We start from the raw sequence: 23,100 nt of genomic DNA, 5'->3' as shown, positions 1-23,100 counted from the left end.
TGCACTTCAGTCTGGGCAACCAGAGTGAGACTCTGTCTTAAAAAAAAAAAAAAAAAAAAAAGGCAGCAGGAGAGCCTCTGAAGGGATCTGGCTGTGTGTGACTAGCTGAGGCACGATGTGGCCAGATTTGTTTTAAATGATTGTTCTCATTGCAGTGTGAACACTAAGTAGATGAGCATACGCAGGCTTACAAGGATACAGGATGGCCAACTGGTACTGGCTTGCCTGCAACTTTGCTGGTTTCAGCACTGAAATGTCTGAATCCTGGAAACTCTTCAATCATAAGCAACCCAGCATGGTTGGTTACCCTATGCTAGGCAGTAGTTTAGGTGGGAGATTAGGGTTATCTCACGGAAGAGGCAGGATCGTCTGTTCCCTAGACTTACTCCAGAAGACCTTAAAGGGTCAGCATTGTGATCCCCAATTTCTGAAAGCCCCTTCAAATTAGCCACCTAATATATATAAGAAACACAGTAACACATACACACCTAATGTGCAAATTACTTCAGGTGAGCCTTGATTTTTTTTTTTTTTTTTACACAGGCCTGGTGGCATCACGTTTTTCACATCTCCGCATCTGGACCCTGCCCAAGCGAAGGCTGATCTAGGTAAGAAGGTGGACTAAATCATGGCAGCAGCTTCTGTTCACTGACACGCTGTGCTCTGGCCCTGGGCTCCTGTGCAATGTTTTCACCCACAGGGTTCTGATTCCTGCCTTGTTTTTCCTCCCACATTGTTATGTTAATTCCACTAAAGCTGCTCTTTGCCCATGCTGTACTACAGAGCAGATTAGTAAATTCCAGTTGTCCCCTAAATAAAGTAAGTATTTACGCTCCTGATTTCAAAGCTGCCTCCCAGCTCCTTACTTATCTAAGGCTTCCTACTTTTTTCTAGTCACTCAAGGCAGAAGACTTTTCTTACCAATCAATCAAAAAGAAGCAAGGAAGGAATGCTACTATTTCTATTCCTATTAAAAATAGCTAACTGGGCCCATTATGTGCCAGGCACTATTTTAAACACTTTCCATATATATTTGTTAATATTTGTATTAATAAGTGATTCACTCAATGGACAGATTTTTATTGATCACCCATGATTTTCTAGTTAATCTCTGAAACATAGGACATGGCAGTGAACAAAACTCTTTTCATGACAGTTACATTCTATAGTTGTAGGGGAGACAGAATGTAACCAATAGAAATATAATGTGGCAGATGACAAGTTCCATGGAGACAGATGCCTCAGGGAAAGGGACTCAACAGTGACGGTGGCCGTAGGCACTATTTTAAATTGGGTGACCAAGGAAGCCTTTCTAATGAGGCATCATTTGAGCAGATATCTAAAGGTACCCCCAGATTGAGTCATAAAGATTCTGGGGCAGTTCAGGCAAAAGGAAGAGCAAAAATATATTTTTTTCAGTTTATGTTAGAATCCTGAAATCATACCTTTCATTTTTCTATCAGGGATGGATCAACATTTCATAGATCCATTTTTTTCCCTTGTTTAGTCTCTGAGAGCATTAAAAAATTTTTTCTTTACTTTTCACATTTCCTACTGCCATTTAAATTTGATTTTTAATGGAAAGTTTGGTATCAATTTATTCTGTTATTCTCCTATTGAATTTTTATACTTTTCATATTTTTCTCTCCTTGATATATGTTCTAATGGTGGAAAGCCAATTTTGTTCCTAATTATGATTTTATTGTCTACTTTAATTGTTGTGTTTATTGGAAAGTAAAGATCAAGCTGTCATTAATCATTATTGCTGGCTACAAATAATAATATGCTTGGATTTTCAGGCAGAGACGCAGGTTGGATTTGTATCTTTAGATAATTACATTTTAATCCACTATTTACTGAATATGTGTCATGTTTTATGTACTGAAGGGAATACAAAGATGGTGACAATGACAGTCTTCCCTTTAGAGAGGCTTTAATCAAATAGGAACAATACATTGCAAAAGGTTCATTGCCAATAGAAGGCAGGGTGTATTGGGATTCTATTCTTGAATAATGAGGATCTGAAGCACATAATAGTAGCAATTACTTATATAGTACTTACTATGTACCAGTCACTGTATTCTGAATGCCAGTGTATCTATCAGGTATTGACTAACTTTAGGGATTAGAAATTAAGGCTCACAAAGATTACTTAACTATGTAATGTGCTAAGTGGAAGAGCTGGGATTTTAACCGAGGCAGTATAGTCCTAAAGCTGTGCTAGGGGTTAAGGAGGGAGGGAAACCCTTGCCTTCAAGACTATGAGGAATAGGCCTCAAGGAAACCAAAAGTGTAAGTTCATGGGCATGGTTAGGATTGGACAAAACAATCTAACAGAGGTAGCTAAACAGACTTGAGACCGAGAGCAGGATATGGAGACATCATAAACCATTGAGACTGGCAGATAAAAGCCCAAGACAGTCTCAAGTTGAAAATTTTTGCCTTTATACACAGGCCAGGAGGGAGTGATTAAAGGCACCTCCTCAGATGGTACATGTTAAGTGCAAATAGCGTTTGGATCAAAGCAGAAAGAAAAACCTTGGAAGTGCTGGAGTGAAGCGGTGACTGTGTCCTGGGTCTCATTTAAGCTAACAGTGAATGTTCTTCTAGAATAGAAGTGGAAATAACATGCATTGATTAGTTCATTCATTTTTCATTCATTTAAATTTTTTTACATTCAGTGCTGTTACTTATTTTTGACACTTCATTTGCTTTTTTTCTAGTTTTCATATTCCTGATGAAGGATTGGCTTCTTCCTGCCCGTACCCGCCTCATATTTACATTTCTTTTCTTTTTTGAGACAGAGTTTCGCTCTCGTTGCCCACGCTGGAGTCCAATGGCAAAATCTCGGCTCACTGTAACCTCTGCCTCCTGGGTTCAAGCAATTCTCCTGCCTCAGCCTCCCAAGTAGCTGGGATTACAGGCATGCACCACCATGCCTGGCTAATTTTTTTTGTATTTTTAATAGAGACAGGGTTTCACCATGTTGGTCTGGCTGGTCTCGAACTCCTGACCTCATGTGATCCATGCGCTTCAGCCTCCCAGAGTGCTGGGATTACAGGCATGAACCACTGCACCCAGCCTTCTCATATCTAAATTTCTTACACCATTTCCTTTGCCTGTTTTCACCCCTTACTGTCTTGTGGTATCTCTTTTGGCTCTGGAAATCTGGGTTCTGATCCTATTTGTGCGCTGAATTTACTGTCTACCTAGAAAAGTAATTTGGTGAGTGGGTTTCATTTCTTTGCAGGGGGGACTATGGAATTGCACTGTAAGTAGGGAGAACAAAAGGCCTTTTTACAGATGAGGACACTGAGGTGCAATGAGGTTAAGTGACTTGCACAAGAGTACTGTTAGTAATTGGCAAAGCTGGACTTGAGTCCAAGCCTTCTGACACTGCTTTTTTCTTAGTTTGCCCTGCCCTGGTAGAAACCATCTCAGGTGAAGACTGATCAGTCTTAGACCAGTTGTACATGGTGTGAGTGCTCCATATTCTATGACCTAAAGAAGAGGAATTAGTAAATGAGTAGGCCTGTTTTCTGAATAAGACCTATTGTCCCCAATCAGTCCTGTAAGGAATTTCAAGAGCCAGGGCTCTGGGTCAAAGCACCTGGGTTCAAATTGCAGCTCAGCAGCTTACTAGCTGTGTGACCCTGGACAAGTTACCCTCCTGTGCCTCAGCTTCTTCCTTGTAAATGGAGATAATAATAGTACCTACTTCACAGGCTTTTCTGTAAAAATCAATGTGTTAAAACAGGTAAAGCCCTTGGAAGAGTGGCCAGTACGTGGTGAGTGATCACTAAGCAGCAGTAATTATCTTAATTATTTAAAGGCATAGACTGTTCCTTCATCTTTTGCTTGAGAACCAAAGCATAGAAACACTCTTGATGTTCTTAAGCAGTGTCTTAGCTGCAGGTAGAAGCATTAGGACTTTGCCATCTGCGAAGACCCCTGACCATATTAATACTTCTATTTAAGTGAAGCTGGATTCCTTTAATTGACTTCACAACCTATCATTCTCCACCGACAGGGTGACCCTGAAAATGATAATCTTCCTGTGAAGGCTAACATATATAGTCAAGAATGAAATGATTTATATCTAGTCATATTTTTAGAGTGAATTGAGTGAATTTTTATAGGGACAGGAAAGAGAAAGTATTACAAGTGAGAAGAAAGGAAATATAAAGAGGCTGGTTAGAGGTGCTTAAAGACAAATTATCCATGTGAAATAGTGTGGAGGAAAATGTCTGACAAGTAGTGGGAACTCCAGGAATGATTTTTTTTTTTTTTTTTTTTTTTGGAGACAGGGTCTCACTCTGTCGCCCAGGCTGGAGTGCAGTGGCGTGATCTTGTCTCACTGCAACCTTTGCCTCCCGGGTTCAAGCAATTCTCCTGTCTCAGCCTCCCAAGTAGCTGGGACTATAGGTGCCTGCCAACAAGCCTGGCTAATTTTTGCATTTTTAGTAGAGACAGGGTTTTACTATCTTGGCCAGGCTGGTCTCGAACTCCTGACCTTGTGATCTGCCTGCCTTGGCCTCCCAAAGTGCTGGAATTACAGGCATGTGCTACTATGCCCAGCTAACTTTTGTATTTTTAGAAGAGACAGGGTTTCACCATGTTGGCCAGGCTGGTCTTGAACTCCTGACCTCTTGATCCACCCTCCTCGGCCTCCCAAAGTGCTGGGATTATAGGCATGAGACACTGCACCTAGGGGGCCTCAGGAATGATTTTTAAAAGGAAAATGTACCATTTGCTTTGGGGCCCTCTAACCGACTATTTCTCTCAAACTTTCTTCAGCAAAATTCACATGTCTCACGTCTTTACATATTGATCTTGCTACAATATTCGGATAAATTGCTTATTTAAATAAAATTATGTATGTGAGGTTCCTTAAGAAAGTATGAGGCATTATGGAATTTTGAGGCATTGTAGCCTCAGTTCAACTTTGACAATAATAAAAAATATTTGACTGGGGCAGAACCCTTTATTTGAAGGGAACAATATATGGGTGAGAATTTCTTGGATGATTTTGGCATCCATGTGAAAAGTTCTTCTAAGTGTGTGTGTGGGATGGGAAGAGTGCTGTTTTTCAGTTTTCTCTGCTTTAATGGGCACTAAATTTTGACTTCACTGAGGCCATACCTAGCAGTTGTCAGGCCAGAAAATATATAGCCCACACTGTGTAAAGTGTTCTAAGCTTAGTTTTTGAAGATTCATTTCTTTATTTAAAAGCAAAGGAAATGGGAAGAGATATAGAGAAATAGGGGCTCCCTACCTTCTTGAATTTCTTTCAAAATAGAGGTAGTGAAAGAAGAAAATAGATGGTAAAACTTAGAAGAGTGAGGAGGTTTTCTTCCAGAATGTCAATTCTTTCCCTTGAAATAACCTAGGAAGTCTCCATAATTGAAATCCTAGCTCTTAAAGAATAATTCCTTCAGGTTGGGCATGGTGGCTTACGCCTGTAATCCTAGCACTTTGGGAGGCCAAGGCAGGCGGGTCACTTGAGCCTAGGAATTTGACCCCAGCCTGGGCAACATGGCAAAACCCTGGCTGTAAAAAACAAGAACAAAAACAAACAAACAAAAACAACCAACCAACCAAACAAAAAACAAATCAGCTGAGCATTGTGGTATGCCCCTGTAGTCCCAGCTACTTGGGAGCCTGAGGTGGGAGGATTGCTTGAGCCTCGGATGTCAAGGCTGCAGTGAGCCATAATCATGCCACTGCACTCCACCTTCCAGCCTGGGTGAGACCCTGTCTAAAAAAAAAAAAATCGTTTCCTCCTCTGAAAGGAAACTAGTTTTACTATTTAAAGCAGATGTGATAAGAAAAATTCTTTCTAAAAGTTCTCAGTGTAACAAATTCCCTATCTAGCCCTGTGGGTTGGCACCCAGATTTGAAAAAGAAATCCTGATGTAATTGAAGAATTGCACTTGGCTTGTTGGAAACACTAAAGTGTGAAATGCGGAAAGATTTCTGATTGTCCCGCTATTCTATAAGTCTAAATATGGGTTACACAGGGATCTTGTCGTTGGTAATATTCACAGTATGGGAGCTGGCAACATGGAAAACTACATCATATATGCTGAATATGATCCTATGCTCTCAAGAATATAATGGCTAGTATTGGGGCTAGAAACACTTGATTGATCCCTTAAGTATCAGTGGATCAAATTATGTGTGCTAAGGAATTGTCTAATTAACTGAATCAAAAAAATGTTGATGATTGGGGTCTACTTTGTATTTGAAACGAAAAATTTATGATTTGGAGTATTATGGAATACAGCTTAAGAGAGCAAACATTCTTTGCCTTTTCAAGAAGATTGTATAACATAATGTACACAAAATACTGGCTCAGAATGGAAGCGGTTCTGAAGGCCAACTCATCCAAGCATATGCTCTTTCACACAGAAGTAAAATCAATCGGATCTAGTAATGGATTGGAATCTGAGAGGGGGAGGTATTAAGAAGGACTTACAGGTCTGTGGAAACAGAATTTCCTTAGAATTTCTGTCAATTAGTCATCAACATGCACTTGAAAATGTTCAATGATAGCAAACCTTCCAAAGAAACCCATTTCATTTGGATGTTTTTGCTTTTCTTTTCTTTTCTTTGGGAAAAGAAAATGATATTTTTCATTGAGCTTCTTCTTTTTTATATCCTTTTCTGTGTCACTTACTCCTTCTTCATCCTCTATAAGCTTAATAACCCAGAAATTGTTGTTTATAGGTTCCAGTGAGGCCACATTAATAATAATAATACATATTATATTGAACCTTAGTTCTTTCCTGTTTACATAGGATTTAATTGACCTCTTAAAAGCTCCTTCGGTTATTTCCTGAAGTTTCTTTCTTTCTTTCTTTCTTTTTTAATTTTTTATTTGAGACAGAGGCTTGCTGCCCAGGCTGGAGTGCAGTGGCGCAATTTCGGCTCACTGCAACCTCCACCTCCTGGGTTCAAGCGATTCTCCTGCCTCAGCCTCCCAAGTAGTTGGGATAACAGGCACCTGCCACCACGCCTGGCTAATTTTTGTATTTTTAGTAGAGACAGGGTTTCACCATGTTGTCCAGGCTGATCTGGAACTCCTGACCTCAGGTGATCCGCCCGCCTTGGCCTCCCAATGTGCTGGGATTACAGGCGTGAGCCACCGTGCCCGGCCTATTTCCTGAAGTTTCATTTGTGCTCACCAATTGGACCAATCATATTTTCCTCTATCCTCCTCCTCACAGCATCTTGTTCTGGCCTCTGGTGCCCTGCATTAAAATGGTGCTATGCTGGTTACAGCAGACTTTTCCAATGACCATTTTGAGTTCTTAGGGAATGAAGTAGATGGGGCATGGGGGAGAATGGTCCCTTCTCTAACACCAAGCATGCTTTCTCACCTGGGCCCTGAAGCAGCACTGCTTGGTTTCGTGGTCTCATAAAGTTTTTTACAAACACTAAGAAAAAGAAACTTCTACCTTCTTTCTTCTGTCTGAGCCAGATACTGTTTTTCTTCATTGTCTTTATCTTTCTCTCTCACCTCATCCACCTTACTGACAACTTTCCCTCTTTCCCCAGGTTCTTGTAACCAATTATGTCCTCCTCCTTGTACTTCCAATCTCAAAACTGTCTCCCTGCCTATCTAGTTGTGTAATAAACCTATAAAGGATTCCTTATTCATCAGTTTCACAAAGAAGTAGACTGGATATCTCAGATTGGGGTCAGGCACAGGGGTCACCATGATATACAACAACTTTATTATGAGGTTCTTCAGCTGCTCCGTCATTGTTCTGTGGGTTATATGGTATTGCCCTTGTATTAGAAAACCTCTGGCAAGATCAATCTTGTGCTTACTGCATGCTTTCTAACAGTTGCCTCCCTCTCACTCCCTTCCCTATTCTCTTCTTCCTAAAGTCACATTCTTTGATTCATTATCCTTCATATTTTCTGCAACATTACTGAAATCCTGTGCTTTCTCTTTTCTTTTTTTCTATTTTTAAAAACACTTTCTGATAAGCTAGAATATTGACAGTCTTTAATCTCTACTCAGTGTGCTATACTTAGAGGACTATTGACTTTGGGACTACATTGACCTTGTGTTGAAGCCCAACTCTGCCACTTCCTTCTCGTGAACCTCTTGTGAATCCATTTATGATCCATAAAGTGAAGGTAACAACCTTATGAGGCAGAAGTTACATTGCCGGGGTTAAAGGAGCTGAAAAATAAAGAATTTCCAACTCTGTGTCAAACCACATAACCAGTGTCAGTATCCTACACTTCTTCCCCTTTCTGTCCCATCCCTTGGTGATTAAGTTGCTCCTCCCTGTGCAGATGGCTGTACCCATCACTCATGAAGAGCCACATAACACTCTCACCGCATGTGTGGTACCTTTTTTCGTCTTGCTATTCCTCCTCCAGATAACTGAGTATACCAATGGTCTCTGCTTAACTTTATCATGGAACCTCCATTTAGTATGTGGGTTGATCATTGAAACAAAAGTCCACCCATTCCACCTCTTAGTACTTTAGTAATTACATCAAATTTTCATTAATACCATAAAATCCATAAGTGTCTTAAATAGAAAACACATTTCTTTCTTTTCTTTTTTTTTTTTTGAGACGGAGTCTCGCTCTGCCACCCAGTCTGGAGTGCAGTGGCGCGATCTCGGCTCACTGCAAGCTCCGCCTTCCAGGTTCACGCCATTGTCCTGCCTCAGCCTCCGGAGTAGCTGGGACCACAGGCGCCCGCCACCACGCCCGGCTAATTTTTGTATTTTTAGTAGAGACGGGGTTTCACCGTGTCAGCCAGGATGATCTCAATCTCCTGACCTCGTGATCCACCCGCCTTGGCCTCCCAAAGTGCTGGGATTACAGGCGTGAGCCACCGCGCCCGGCCAAAAACACATTTCTTTAATTCGAATCATTGTGTTTGAAATACTATTCATGGCTGTACATTATAATGGCGTTTAGTGATATGTACACACAGTTGTATAAGTGATCACATTTCTAATTGCATTTGTGAATAGCATTTTACATATTTTCTTTGAAACATCTTAGATTGAGCAAGAACTAACTGTAGCTGCAGTAATGAGATTTTGGGTCTGGGAAGGAAATTAAGACTGAAGAAAAGAAATAGGGAAATGTTGTATCCTACCTCCCAACATTAAGATTTAAAAAAAAACCCATAGTTCATTTTTCCTCCATTAATAATTAAATTCCAAGAACCATTGCTGGAATTAAATTTCCATGCCCTGAAGTTACTTATATTATAAATGTTGGCATTTCCTGAAACATTTAATGTTCCAAAACAAGTTTTTTTAATCGACATATAATATTTGTACTTATTTATAGGATACATGGTGACATTTTGTTACATACATAGAATGTGTAATGATTAAGTCAGGATATTTATGACAGCTGTCTCCTTGAGCAATTACCATTTCTACATGCTGGGAACATTTCAGATCTTCTCTTCTAGCTATTTGGAATATACAATATGTTGCTGTTAACTATAGTTACTCTACTGTCGCCCATCAGAACTTGTTTCTTCTATTTGTATGTTTGTACCCATTAACCTACCCCTTTTCATTCCCCTCTCTCCACATCCCCTTCTCAGTCTCTGGAAACTATAATTCTGCTCTCTACTTACATGATATCAATTTTTTAGCTCCCACATATGACTGAAAACATGCGATACTTGTCTTTCTGTGCCTGGCTTATTTAATGACCTCCAGTTCTATCCATGTTGTTGCAAATGACATGATTTCATTATTTTTATGGCCAGATAGTATTTCATTGTGTATATACCACATTTTCTTTATCCACTCATCCGTTTATACACACAGGTTGATTCCATATCTTTTGCTATGCAGTAAACATGAGGGTGCAGGTATCCCTTTTTTATACTGATTTTCTTTATATTGGTTTCCTTTCCTTTGGATAAATACCTAGTAGTGGGATTGGAATTGCTAGATCATATGGTAGTTTCTTTTTTTGAGATATCTTCATCCATAATGACTATACTAATTTGCATTTCCACCAACAGTGTATGAGTTCCCTTTTCTCTGCATTCTCAGTAGCATCTGTTATTTTTTTGTCTGCTATTAGCCATTATAACTGAGTTAAAATGATATCTCATTGTGGTTTTGATTTGCATTTCCCTGATTAGTGACATCAAACATTTTTTCATATACCTGTTGGGCGTTTGTATGTCTTTTGAGAAATATTCTTGTCCTTTGCCCATTTTTCAACGGGTTTTTTTTTTTTTTATTGTTGAGTTGTTTGAGTTCCCTGTATATTCTGTATGTTTGTTTCTTGTCAGATGAAAAGTTTACAAATATTTCTCCCATTCAACAGGCTGTGTCTTCACTCTGCTTTGCTGTGCAGAAGCTTCCTAGTTTAACATAGTCCCATTTGTCTATTTTTGGTTTTGTTGCCTGTGCTTTTGAGGTCTTAGCCATAAAATCTTTGCCTAGTCCATAGTTCTGAAGTGTTTCCCTTATGTTTTCCACTACTAGTTTCATGTCTTACGTTTAATTCTTTAATCCATCTTGAGTTGATTTTTTGTTTATGTCAAGAGATATAGCAAGTCTAGTTTATTTCTTCTACAGATGGATGTCCAGTTTTCCCAGCACTGTATATTGAAGGGGGTGTCCTTTCCCTGATGTATGTTCTTGGTGCCCTTGTCAAAAATCAGTTGATTGTAAATATATGAATTTATTTCTGGGTTCTCCATTCAGTTCTATTGGTCCACAAAACATGGTTTTTAGAAGAAAGACTTGATATAAATTTATTTGGCTTAAATAAATGCAGCTAAATGCGTCTTTCTTCTGATGGTATTGGGCTTTTTGAGAAGGATATTCTTGGTAATCCTGACCTCTTAATCTCTGCAGAATCATCCAACTGGAAAAGTGATTTGTTATGCAAGTATGTATCTACTTTAGAAAATATTACTTAATCTGATGACAAAAGAATAAATAATATGCTCAATAGTGGCCTCATCTGGTTCACAGATTTATTTTGCAATTTATGCTGACTGCAACTTTTTGGAAAAGGCTATTACCAAAAAAAAAAAAAAAAAAAAGGAAAAGAAAAAAAAAAGGCTTTTTATAAAAAGCTGGATCTCCGGGCCCAGCGCCTTCTCATTACAGACCTATTTGCTATACTTATTATATATTTGCTTTTATTTCAAAGTGTCTTTGAAATTTGCCGTAAACAATGTAAAATCTTCCTGATGTTAGAACTGTGTTCAGAGTTCTTTAATTCCCAGAAATTCCCTGGTATTTTTGGAAGAGGAAGAAACTTACCCTTCTTCCCATTAGGAATCTCAACAGTAGCCATTTGTCTCAAAATTCCGTTTGAATTTTTTTATTGCGTATATTTATTCCTTCAATCAAATTTGAAGTTTTAGCAATGTCAAATTCAGAAATTGTTTTTATTAAACTGTTTTATGTTTTCAAAGGATTTTTATTTATGTGTTTTGAGGATGTGTTTTGAATCCTAGGAGCATAGTAGATTTCTAGAAGCAGCGTGAGGCCGCTATAGCAAGTTATCTAGGGCAACAAAGCTTTGGCTTTTTTATTAGTTTCATAAATGTATATTTATATTCCCCTTTATTCTTTTCAAGCCAGTCATTCTAATAAGTAATGTCCTTTTTATGTTTTTGCCTTTCTATTGAGCTCAATTAACAGACTGTTGAGAATGAATTTGTGGAATCATCTGGAAATGCTTCTAAACTTGTATGTAAATGGTGTGAAAGAACTATCGTGACATCTCCAACTGCAGGAATTGTGGATATGAGATTTTTGTATAAAGTATCGAAATTGTGAGTGGCAATCAAATGGGGAGTTCCCAGAGCAGCTCAGTTTATTAAGAGGAAGCTGTGTATTGTTCATCCCAAGGCGGCACCACTTTTTATGCTAAGCCCTTTGGGTCAGACTGTGGCTGCTGTGACCTAGAGGATCTCGTCTTAGCACTTGTGACTGAGACTTTAATTATTTTAAATTCCAATATCAAGGAATAGCGGCTAGTTAGATCTGGTTTAGATATTACCTTTAGAACCTGCAGCCTTGTGCCAAAGTTGGGGTTGGTTTAAATGCTTGAGCAGATACCAACTGTCCACAGCCACAGCCAACCTCCTAATCACAAAGAGGACCACGTCAAACTTTGACACTTTGACCCTTTTTAGTATATCCCCTGTGGCAGAAACTGAAATTCAGTCACAATTCTTTTACTTGACTTGAGGCAAACTTAATGGTGATGTCCAGTTTTAACCTTTGTCACTCTCTCTGGGGTATTGTGGGACAAGTTCTTCTCTAGGCTCTGACAGAAACCTTAAACCATGAGCACTAACATACTTTCAGGACAAAGAGGAATTCCTAACAGGAATTTTGCAAACATTATGTGTTTTTTGTCCTTGCTTCTAGATGGATTAATTTATATTCTGATCAAGGGGCACATAGATCATAGTGTTAATTGCTTAATAAACACAATCTGTTAACCATATTTTTCTGAAGAGAAGCAAAATAATCCTTATATTAGAGGCCCCCTGATGGCCTCCCATAACAGATTCATTATTTCTCCCTGAAGTTTTAAGAAATGCAGTATTTTGTCACTTTTACTCAGAGAGACTTTTAAAATAGTCCTGGATTCAAGTTCCAATTCTGTGACTGAATAACTCTGTGACTTCGGACAAGTTACTTAACCTCCCTAAGCTTACATGATTTCTCATGGGTAAAATGGAAGAATTATTAGTACCCACTCATAGGACTATGAGAATTACAGTTGGCCCATGAATAACACGGGTTTGATCTTAGTGGATCCATTTTTACGTGAATTTTTTTCAATAAAAGTTATACCAAGTGTGCCTGTCTCTCCTCCCTCCCTTCTCCTTCACTTCTTCTGCCTCTGTCGTCCCTGAGACAGCAAGACCCCTCCTCTTCCTTCTCCTCCTCAGCCTACTGAATGTGAAGACAATAAGGATAAAGACCTTTAGGATTATCCACTTCCACTTAATAAAGAATAAATATGTTTTCCCTTCCTTGTGATTTTCTTAATGACATCTTCTTTTCTCTAGCTTACTTTATTAGAAGAATACAGCATCTAATACATATAACATACAAATATGTGTTAATCAACTGTTTATGTTATCAGTAAGACTTATGGTCAACAGTAGGCTATTAACAGTAAAGCTTTTGGGGAACCAAAAGTTATACATACATTTTTGACTGTGCAGGCAGGGAGTCAGCACCCCAACCCCTGCTTTGGTCAAAGGTCAACTGTAAATGAATGAGGCATGGTGTACATTTAGCCAAAGGCCTAGCACTGGTTAAGACCTCATGAAATGTTGGCTGTATTAGTCTGTTGTCATACTGCTAATAAATACATACCCCAGGCTGGGTAATTTATAAGGGAAAAAAGTTTAATGGACTCACAGTTCCACACGGCTGGGGAGGCTTCACAATCATGGTGAAGGCAAAGGAGAAGTAAAGGCACATCTTACATGGTAGCAGGCAACAGACCTTGTACAGGGGAACTTCCATTTATAAAACCATCAGATCTCATGAGACTTACTCATTACCATGAGAACAGTATTGGGAAAACCGCCACCATGATTCAGTTATCCCCACCTGGCCTGCCCATGACACGTGGGGATTATTACAATTCAAGGTGAGATTTGGGTGGGGACACAGCCAAACCATATCATTGGCTAATGTCATCTCTCTCCTCTCCTCTTTCTTTCTCCTTCTTAACCAAGTATGAATCTACTCATTTCATTACCTCACCTAAATATTTAATTTTTACTAGATTTTTACTGCTTGTCCACAAATTGCTATCTTCCTGCCCCTTGATTAGTCTACTAAGAAACACATGAGCTTGGCATACAGCAGTGGTGAGTCCAGTTGCCCTTGTTGGATTGGGATACATGCCTCCAACTCATGGCCCAGTGCTTCCCTTGCTGGGTTACACAGCCCTTTCTACCCTGGGTAGATCTTTCTGTTTAAGCAGTCTATATATATGGTCACTGGTATTTTACGAAGTGCATTTCAAAATAACTAACTCTTAGGATGGATTTCGTGAAATAACGCTGGATTAAGATGAAGAGGGCCTTCCTTGATCCTCATGGTAAACAGAAGAGTTTGTAAAACTCTAATACCAGTATCTCTCCCTGAACAACAGCAACAAAGCAAAAAGGAAGCAAACACACCTGTGAAACTGTTGCCTATATGATCTCTTGTAGGATTCTGAGTATTTGATGGGATATGAATTTTTTCTTAGAAGGTATCTACTTCAAGATTTAATAAAATTATATTTAAATGAGAAATCTTTACAAAGTAGTGGCTTTGAGTCCACTTGCTTCACTGCATATAGTACTATATTGTATTTTAAGTCCTATCCAGCAATACATTTTTAAAATCCTATCCCGCAATACATTTTTAAATTTTGGGCTTTTTAAAAATGGCACTTTGTTTCATTGGTCTTTCTTTAAAAAAAAAAAAAGAAAAAGAAAAAGTGAGTGCCAGTGGTACTAGGGTAGTGGAAACAGCAGCATACGGAGAGTCCAGAAACCTGGATTTGAGTCCAGTTCCATTGCTCACTAGTTGTTTGACCAGGGGCAAGTCGCTTTGAAATTTCTTGTCTCCTTTAGCCTCCTTGGGTATACAGTGACAATAACCGCATCTGCTATGTCTGCCTCACATGATGGTGGTTTGGCTCAAATGGAAGTTCAAACCAAAGAACTTCTTTTGTGGACGTTTTAAACAGATGTCATATTACTGTGATTTATAAAAAGATTTCCAGTATTTTATAAAATCGAAACACACATAATGTGAGATAATTAAAATAGGTTTTCCTTCCATGTTACTAGGTTTATAAATGAACAGACATTTTAACAACAACAACCAAAAAATAGGTTTTCTGTCAACAGATGTGGCTATCAGGGAAGTGGGAGAGATGGCAGATCAGCTTTGTCTTGGAGAGCCCCCATGGTCCCCACCTTCCTCCTTGAGAGCTGTACTGTGTGGCAGACCTTTAAAAATGAGAGTACCATCAAAGCACCCTGCCTGCATCCTCAATCCTCTATAAAATGGGGTTACAATCGTCTCTTTGCAGTTGCCTGTTAAAAAGAAAAACCGGCCAGGTGCGGTGGCTCACACCTGTAATCCCAGCACTTTGGGAGGCCGAGGCAGGCGGATCATCAGGTAAGAAGATTGAGACCATCCTGGCTAACACAGTGAAACCCCGTCTCTACTAAAAATACAAAAAAATTAGCCGGGCGTGGTGGCGGGCGCCTGTATTCCCAGCTACTCGGGAGGCTGAGGCAAGAGAATGGCGTGAACCCGGGAGGCGGAGCTTGCAGTGAGCCGAGATCGCGCCACTGCACTCCAGCCTGGGTGACAGAGCGAGACTCCGTCTCAAAAAAAAGAAAGAAAAACCTACTTAAACCCCTTGTGCTCTCTAATTGGAAAGCCATTGTTCAAGAGCAGCTTCCTTAATCAGAAAATGCAAATTTGATGTAACATATGCAACCATTGTTCCTGATATAAAGTTCTCATAAAAGCAAACTCCACAGAATGTGTTCACATATCTAAAAAAGATACTCCCGATATTTGAAAAGGAAGCTCTCTTTGTCTTACTAACTACAAAGTAAAATGTACTAAGCCCACCTTTAGCGAGATGCTGTGCTGTCACCATTGTTGGTAAAGCCTTAAATGTTCAACGAGTAGGAATCTCCTATCTACAGATTCTTTTTTTAAATCAGGCGGTGGGTACAAAAACATAGTTAGATAGAATTCATAAGAACTAGTATTTGATTGTACAACAGGGTGATTACAGTCAACAATAATTTGTTGTACATTTAAAAATAACTAAAACAGTATAGCTGGAATGTTTGTAATGCAAAGAAATGATAAATGTTTGAGGTGATGGATACCCCATTTACCCTGATGTGATTATTATGCACTATATGCCTGTATCAGAATATTTCATGTACCCCATAAGTATATATACCTACTATGTACCCATAAAAATTAAAAATTAAATCAGGGGGAAAGGGCTTATTTCCTAAGCATACTCATACATCTCCTGTAGATGATGATGTTAGCCAGATAGTGATGTAAAACCAGTGATGTGTTGAGGATCTCAATATCTAATTTTCATGGAAATCATGTGGAAAGCTAATACTCATTTTTCTTTATGTAATTAAGCTTTGAAAAGGTAAGGGAGAGGCAAAGAAAGAATTCCTCGACGTCTTTGAGAGAATCTTCAATGCGCACACCTTGTTAACATATCTGGGTATCTGTGTGGGTTGGTTTGTAGGTCAAAAAATGAACAGCAATGAAAAAACGTACACAAAAAGGAGCCCTTTTTTTCCCTTTAATAACCAGCTGTGACTTTGGCCAGAAACTCGTCCTCTAAAATAGTTATATTGGCTGAAATTTGTCCTCTACATTTTTGTAGAGATTTGCCCATATGTTAAAATAAGACATAGCTTATGCTGGTGGTCTCACAGTCAAATCATAGTTTCACAGGAAAGAATTTTGCCTCCGAAACTCTAGTTTAGTGCTTTCCTTCTTGTGACATTGTTAGAATGCAAAGAAAATCATAAATTTACAGACTTTTTGAAGAAAACAAAAATCATTGAGAAAATAAGTAAACTCTCTCAATTTCAGTGCTATCTCATAATAATCTTTTTTCCTTAGTCTTTGAGTAGGAAACCATCCTCCTTCTTGTCAAGGCTGATTCCTCCCCATGTGTCCTTGAGCCCATGTCTTCTTCCTCTGGTGCCTTTTTTCCCATGTTTCATACCATTTTTCACTGTATCATCAATATCTCCTTCCTTGCTACTTCCTTCTTTTCAAACTGAAAACATACTTCTGTTTTCCATGTCTCAAAAAAAACAAAAACAGGCCAGGCGCAGTGGCTTACGCCTGTAATCCCAGCAATTTGGGAGGCTGAGGTGGGAGGATCACCTGAGGTCAGGAGTTCGAGACCAGCCTGGACAACATGAGGAAACCCCATCTCTACCAAAAATACAAAAATTTGTTGAGCATGATGGCGGCTGCCTGTAATCCCAGCTACTTGGGAGGCTGAGGCAGGAGAATCACTTGAACCCAGGAGGTGGAGGTTGCAGTGAGCCAAGATCTCACCACTGTACTCCAGCCTCGGCAACAAGAGTGAAACTCCGTCTCAAAAACAAAACAAAACAAAACAAAACAAAACAAAACAAAACAGCCAGGCATGGTAGCTCACGCCTGTAATCCCAGCACTTTGGGAGGCCGAGATGAGCAGATCACCTGAGGTCAGGAGTTCAAGACTAGCCTGACCAACATGGAGAAACCCCCTCTCTACTAAAAATACAAAATTAGCCGGGCATGGTGGTGCGTGCCTGTAATCCCAGCTACTCGGGAGGCTGAGGCAGGAGAATCGCTTGAATCCAGAAGGCAGAGGTTGCGGTGAGCCGAGATTGTGCCATTGCGCTCCAGCCTGGGCAACGAGAGCGAAACTCAGTCTCAAAAAAAAAAAAAGAAAAGACAAGACAAGAAACCAAAATAGCAAATACCGGTACAGGTTATTACTCATATTTTTCTTGTCTTAACCACTAGCATTCTCACTTACTCTTTGTAATATAATTAGTTTGGTGTTCTCTCACTCTACTAAAGTTGCTACCTAAAACTGTCTGTAACATATCTTTTTTTTGAAGCAGTGTCTCACTCTGTCACCCAGGCTGGAGTGGAGTACAGTGGCGTGATCTCGGCTCACTGCAACCTCCACCTCCCGGGTTCAAGCGATTCTCCCACCTTAGTTTCCTAGGTAGCTGGTACTACAGGTGCCAGCTAATTAGCCACACCAAGCTAGTTTTTGTATTTTTAGTAGGGATGGGGTTTCACTATGTTGACCAGGCTGGTCTCAATCTCCTGACCTCAGGTGATCTGCCTGCCTTGGCCTCCCAAAGTGCTGGGATTACAGGCGTGAGCCACCACGCCCGGCCTGTAACACTTTAATTTGTTTCTTTCTTGACCTCTTTGCAGAATTTGATGTTGTCCCCAGCTCCTCATTCTTGACTCCCTGTCTGTTCTCTTTCTACTCCAATCTGTTCTGACATTACTTTTGACTTAATCTTTAAGAGTAGTGCTGAACATACTGCTTCCCTGGTCAAAAATCATCCATGGCTTCATGAGTCATTTGTCTATGAAGATAGCGTTAATATCCTACCAACCTGATTAAAATCCTTGTTTTCTCAGTCCTGTATTACGTTTCTTCCTCTTGGAAGTTCATTTTCTTAATCTCTACCTGTCCAAGGCCCATATTTTAATGAGGGGCTATTTTAAAATGCTTTCTTCTGCCTGAAGTGTTATTCTGATTCTACAAACATGATGTTGACTCTCCTTTTTTTTTTTAACTCCTCTGATTTGTTCTTTGATACCTTATAGGTCTCTTTCTGCTGTGTATTGTAGTAATTTTGTTATTATTCCTACGTTCTTACTCCTACAGTGTGGAGGTTGTTTAAAGAAAAACCCCTCAGTGGCTCACCCCTGTAATCCCAGCACTTTGGGAGGCTAAGGTGGGCAGATCACTTGAGCTCGGGAGTTTGAGACCAGGCTGCACAACATGGCAAAACCCTGTCTCTACAAAATATACAAAAATTATCTGGGCATGATGGCATGTACCTGTTTTCCCAGCTACTTGGAGGAGCTGAGGTAGGAGAATTGCCTGGGCCCAGAAGCTGGAGGTTGCAGTGAGCTGAGATCACGCCACTGCACTGCAGCGTGGGTGACAGAGCGAGACCCTATCTCAGAAAGAAGAAAAACAAAAAGGAAAGCAAAGAGAAGAAAAACTCCATGGAAAGAAGAAGAGCCATTAACCTATTGCAGAACTTCCTTTTTTTTTTTTTCTTTTTTGTTTTTTGAGACGGAGTCTTGCTCTGTCACCCAGGCTGGAGTGCAGTGGCACGATCTCGTCTCATTGCAAGCTCCACCTCCCGGGTTCACGCCATTCTCCTGCCTCAGCCTCCTGAGTAGCTGGGACTACAGGTGCTCGCCACCACACCTGGCTAATATTTTGTATTTTTAGTGGAGACGGGGTTTCACCGTGTTGGCCAGGGTGGTCTCGATCTCCTGACCTTGTGATCCGCCCGCCTCAGCCTCCCAAAGTGCTGGGATTACAGGCGTGAGCCACTGCGCCCAGCCTTCCTTTGTTTTTTTAATCTACTCTTTGAAAAAGCTGCACTCCATCCCAGGGTGGATGGAAAGGAGAAAGGCAGGCAATAACTTGTCCAAAATCACACAGGAGAGGCAGAATTCAAAGCCATCTAGGACTAAATGAGCAAGGGGAGGGGGCAGTAATGGTACTCAGAGAAAGCAGCTGCAGCTGGAGGAGAACTACCCCAGAGGAGCGTGGTCTTCATTAGAGGGCACGCCTACTACCAAACTATAGCCCAGGAGATAGGGAGTCAGGGGATAAAGGTCCCGAGCCCTCTTCCATCTGCCCTCCAATCTGTTACTGTTTCCCAATGGCTAAATCTAGTAGAAGCCACAGGGCAAGGAAACTTGTTGATTGAGTTCATAAAAGTCAGTCTCTTGGTCTTAGGAGGGTGTGAAAGGTAGAGTGTGAATTTGACTGAACTAATAAAAATTTTCCAGTTTAGAAATGGAATACAGGTAATCTGTCTTAGCCGTGTTGGGCTCAGATGGAGTCACAGGGAAAGACTGTGCCAATGACTAGGCAAAGAAAGCTTTGCATTGGCCTTTTAAGGCCAAAATCAATTAGGATGTCTGCCGTCAGCAGACAGAATGACGACAACTAATTCTTGAATCTTATTTTTAGCATTGGTGAAATATGCTATGAACAATAGATAGCATCTACTAAAAGGCAATCATTTCTCATTAGGATGAGGCAGAACAGATATTTCCATTTGGGGTAGAGTGAGGTAATCTACTTGTTTATTGGAAAAAGAATCAAGGGAGAAATCACTGCTGCAATGTTGTCATAGACAGAATGCCAGCCTGGAGCCTGTCAGAGGAAATAGAAGACACGAAGACTCCCTGGGAAGCAAAGTGCTTTTACCTTGAACATAACCAGAGCAGGTCACTTCACAGGCCAAATTAAGATGTATAATTTAGTGTGTGCCTCTGCAGAGCCGCTGCATTTGAGTCCAAGTAGAATGAGGCAATGCTGTTTGAAATAGTCCTGTGAACTCAGCATGGAATTGCAATGCCAGTGTATTTAACCCCAATGCACAGTGATTTCCTGTCCTTTTGCTTTTTTTCTCTTAGGACTTACTGCTCTTTTTCCTCTGGTTTCTTGGATGAAAAATATGTGTGATGATTCCATACTGCATTCTGACTTTCTAATGGGTTGTCACAGAGAAGAGTTTGCCCTGGTCTAAAGCCTTCTTCTGACATGGAACACTCTAGAGGGTTGAGGTTGAAGTTCATTTGCTCAGGGAAGATCCTTTTTTGTTGAAACAACCAGCTAGTCAACCTGGTTTGGCTCAGTCCTCCAGTTCCAATGAGCCTCCTGTGGGTTGTGGTTTTCATGTCAGTTCCATTTTCAAAGCTTTTGCAGTGTTCCATCCCATGTATGTGCCACCCAGTGGCCAGCCTAGGCCCTGGGAAGTTGTCTTATCTCTTCATTTTTTTTCAAAGCCCTTCGTATGGTGTTTAAGTTCAGATCCACAATCCACAGGCTGGGGTTAATTCAGGTATCCATGAACAACTTTATGGGTCACTTTCTAAGATCCTTCTCCATAATCTTTCCCATACTTCTGGGCTCTCTGAGGCTCTGATTTCAGTCCTCTAACTAGAAATCTAGGACTACTAACCCTCCAACTCTTTGGCTGCAAACTTCCTGCAACTCTGCCCACACCCGAAATCAACGAGAGGCAGAACAGAGTGAGAGAAAAAGAAATAGGGTTTTCCCCCATACATCTTGGGACTACAGTTCCTCTAATCATAGAGAAATGTTCTCCTCCCTCAGAGTTTTAGGTGCCAACAAGAAAACTTCTTTCTATTCTTGATTCTGAATTACAGGACTCCTCCTATATCTTCCTCTGTTTGTGCTGATATTCACTGCCATGTTTCAGGCACATTTGAGTCCAGGCTTAGGGGCTACTGAAGGACAAAGTTGAGAAAGTTAGCTGCTTTACAGTTGGTTGATACTTCAAAGCCTGGTCTTCCTCATCAACCTGCTTGTTACCATTTACTTTTAGAGTGTTCAAATAGCTGCTCCATGCATTTTATATTGGTGTTTTTTTTCTGTTACATTCAGTGGGAGAGCTAGGATAGAGTGCACTTACTTTATCTTACATGGAATTGAAACACCTTATATACTGTATGATTCCTTCTAAATGTGTTAACTTTAGCCTAAATCTCATTCTCTATCCCTTTGCATCTAGCAGTGTTGTGGACATATTTGTTTGATTATTCCCCGATACATCAAATTCAATATTTCCACAACTGAATTCATCTTCTTCCCCTGAAGCCTATTCCTCTTCGTGCATTTATCTTTGTGAATGGCACCACAATCTACCCAGTCACCTACATCTGAAATCATGAAACCAAATTCTTTCCTGTCACGCATATCCAATTAACCACCAGACCCTTTCAATTCTATCTTTTTATTTAATTTTTACTTATTTATTTAGAGACAGAGTCTCACTCTTTCACCCACGCTGGAGTGCAGTGGCACAATCTCGGCTCACTGCAGCCTAGATCTCCTGGGTTGAAGCAATTCTTATGCCTTAGCCACCCAAATAACTGGGATTACGGGCATGTGCCACCATGCCTGTCTAATTTTTTCTGTATTTTTAGTAGAGATGGGGTTTTACCATGTTGGTCAGGCTGGTCTTGAACTCAAGTGATCCACCCACCTCAGGCTCCCAAAGTGCTGGGATTATAGTCATGAGGCACCATGCCTGGCCTGAAATCTATCTTTTAAAATTGACCATCTCTTCTCCATCACATTGCTACTGCTTTGGTTTTGGCTATCGCTTCTTTCTGGAATACTGAAAGACCTTTCTAAGTGATTTATACCACTAGTCTTACCCCCTACTTGTCTACTCTCTACTTTACTTCTGAAGTAATCTTTTTATAACAAGTATAAGTAAGTAGCTTAGGATTCTTCATTGGCTCCTATGGATCCTGGGATAGTGAAACTCCTTAGTCTAGTTCAGTACAAAGTTTCTTACAACATACTGCTTCCCAGGGCCCAGAACAAAGGAACTGTAGTCCCAAGATCATGAGACAAACTCCCATTTCTTTTTTCTTCCTCTGTTCTGCTCCTCTTTGGTTCCGGACATGTGCACCACAAGTGTGGTAAGAGCATTCTGTATGGAAGTTTCTGGGTGGATGAGGCAATAGTGTAAAGTTCTTTTTTTTTTTCTTTTTTTTTATAATAGTAGCTTTATGCCTTGCATTGTGGCTTTATTGCTATAAAATCCAATGTTATAATTTTCTAAACCTTGACTTGAGTTTCCCAACTGTGACTAACATATAGAGTTCTAACCATGACATTTTCTCCATTTACATAACCAAGACTTATAAAGACCAGGGGAAAAAAGTACTTAATCCTGTAAACAGGCACTACATGTCTGTAATTCTCATAAAGGATATAGCCTTTATGTCAGTCCTTCTCTTCTTTTATTTCTAAATTAGAATCTTCATTGAGTTTTTACTGCCTATACCAGCTGTAGTGAACTCCTGGTGCCCTTTTTCTAGATTTTATTGTTTAAGGGATGACCTTAGGGAGCAGCACTTTACCTGATCAGACATGTTGAAGCTCTCCAATGAGTGTGGTTTTTGTTTCTTTCTTTTTCTTTTTTTTTTTTTTTTTGAAAGACAGGGTCTTGCTCTGTCACTTAGGCTGGAGTACAGTGGTGCAGTGGCGCAATCTCAGTCCACTGCAGCTTCAACCTCCCAGGCAATCCCCTTGCCTCAGCCTCACTAGCAGCTGGGAGTACAGGCTTGCACCACATTCCCAGCTAATTTTCTCTTTTTTTGTGGAAACAAGCTTTCACTATGTTCCCCAGACTGGTCTCAAATTCCTGAGCTCAAGCAACCTCCCGCCTTGGCCTCCCAACGTGCTGGGATTACAGGGGTGAGCTGCTGCGCCTGGCCTCCG

The 23,100-nt window shown here is 40.3% G+C and overlaps 1 protein-coding gene across 9 annotated transcripts in view, besides 1 other annotated feature; it reads left to right on the top strand.

Annotated features, from left to right (window-relative positions):
- FMN1 (formin 1) overlaps window positions 1-23,100 on the top strand; it is a 429,171-nt gene that overhangs the window by 13,909 nt on the left and 392,162 nt on the right. For all 9 annotated transcript variants that reach the window (XM_011521509.4, NM_001277313.2, XM_011521504.4 and 6 more), the window contains one exon: window positions 544-608. In XM_011521509.4, coding sequence (XP_011519811.1) covers window positions 544-608 — 65 coding nt within the window. The remainder of the gene's footprint in view (window positions 1-543; window positions 609-23,100) is intronic.
- Window positions 17,580-17,629: an enhancer, noted in NCBI's record as "active region_9167". NCBI's record gives its function as "activates an Ori minimal core promoter by ATAC-STARR-seq in GM12878 lymphoblastoid cells {active_cell/tissue: GM12878}" and the evidence as "EXISTENCE:reporter gene assay evidence [ECO:0000049][PMID:35858748]".

Source organism: Homo sapiens, chromosome 15, assembly GCF_000001405.40.
Source record: "Homo sapiens chromosome 15, GRCh38.p14 Primary Assembly".
Classification (NCBI taxonomy): domain Eukaryota; kingdom Metazoa; phylum Chordata; class Mammalia; order Primates; family Hominidae; genus Homo; species Homo sapiens.
Note: the sequence above shows the minus strand (reverse complement) of the source record. Positions and strands in the feature narration are given on the sequence as shown.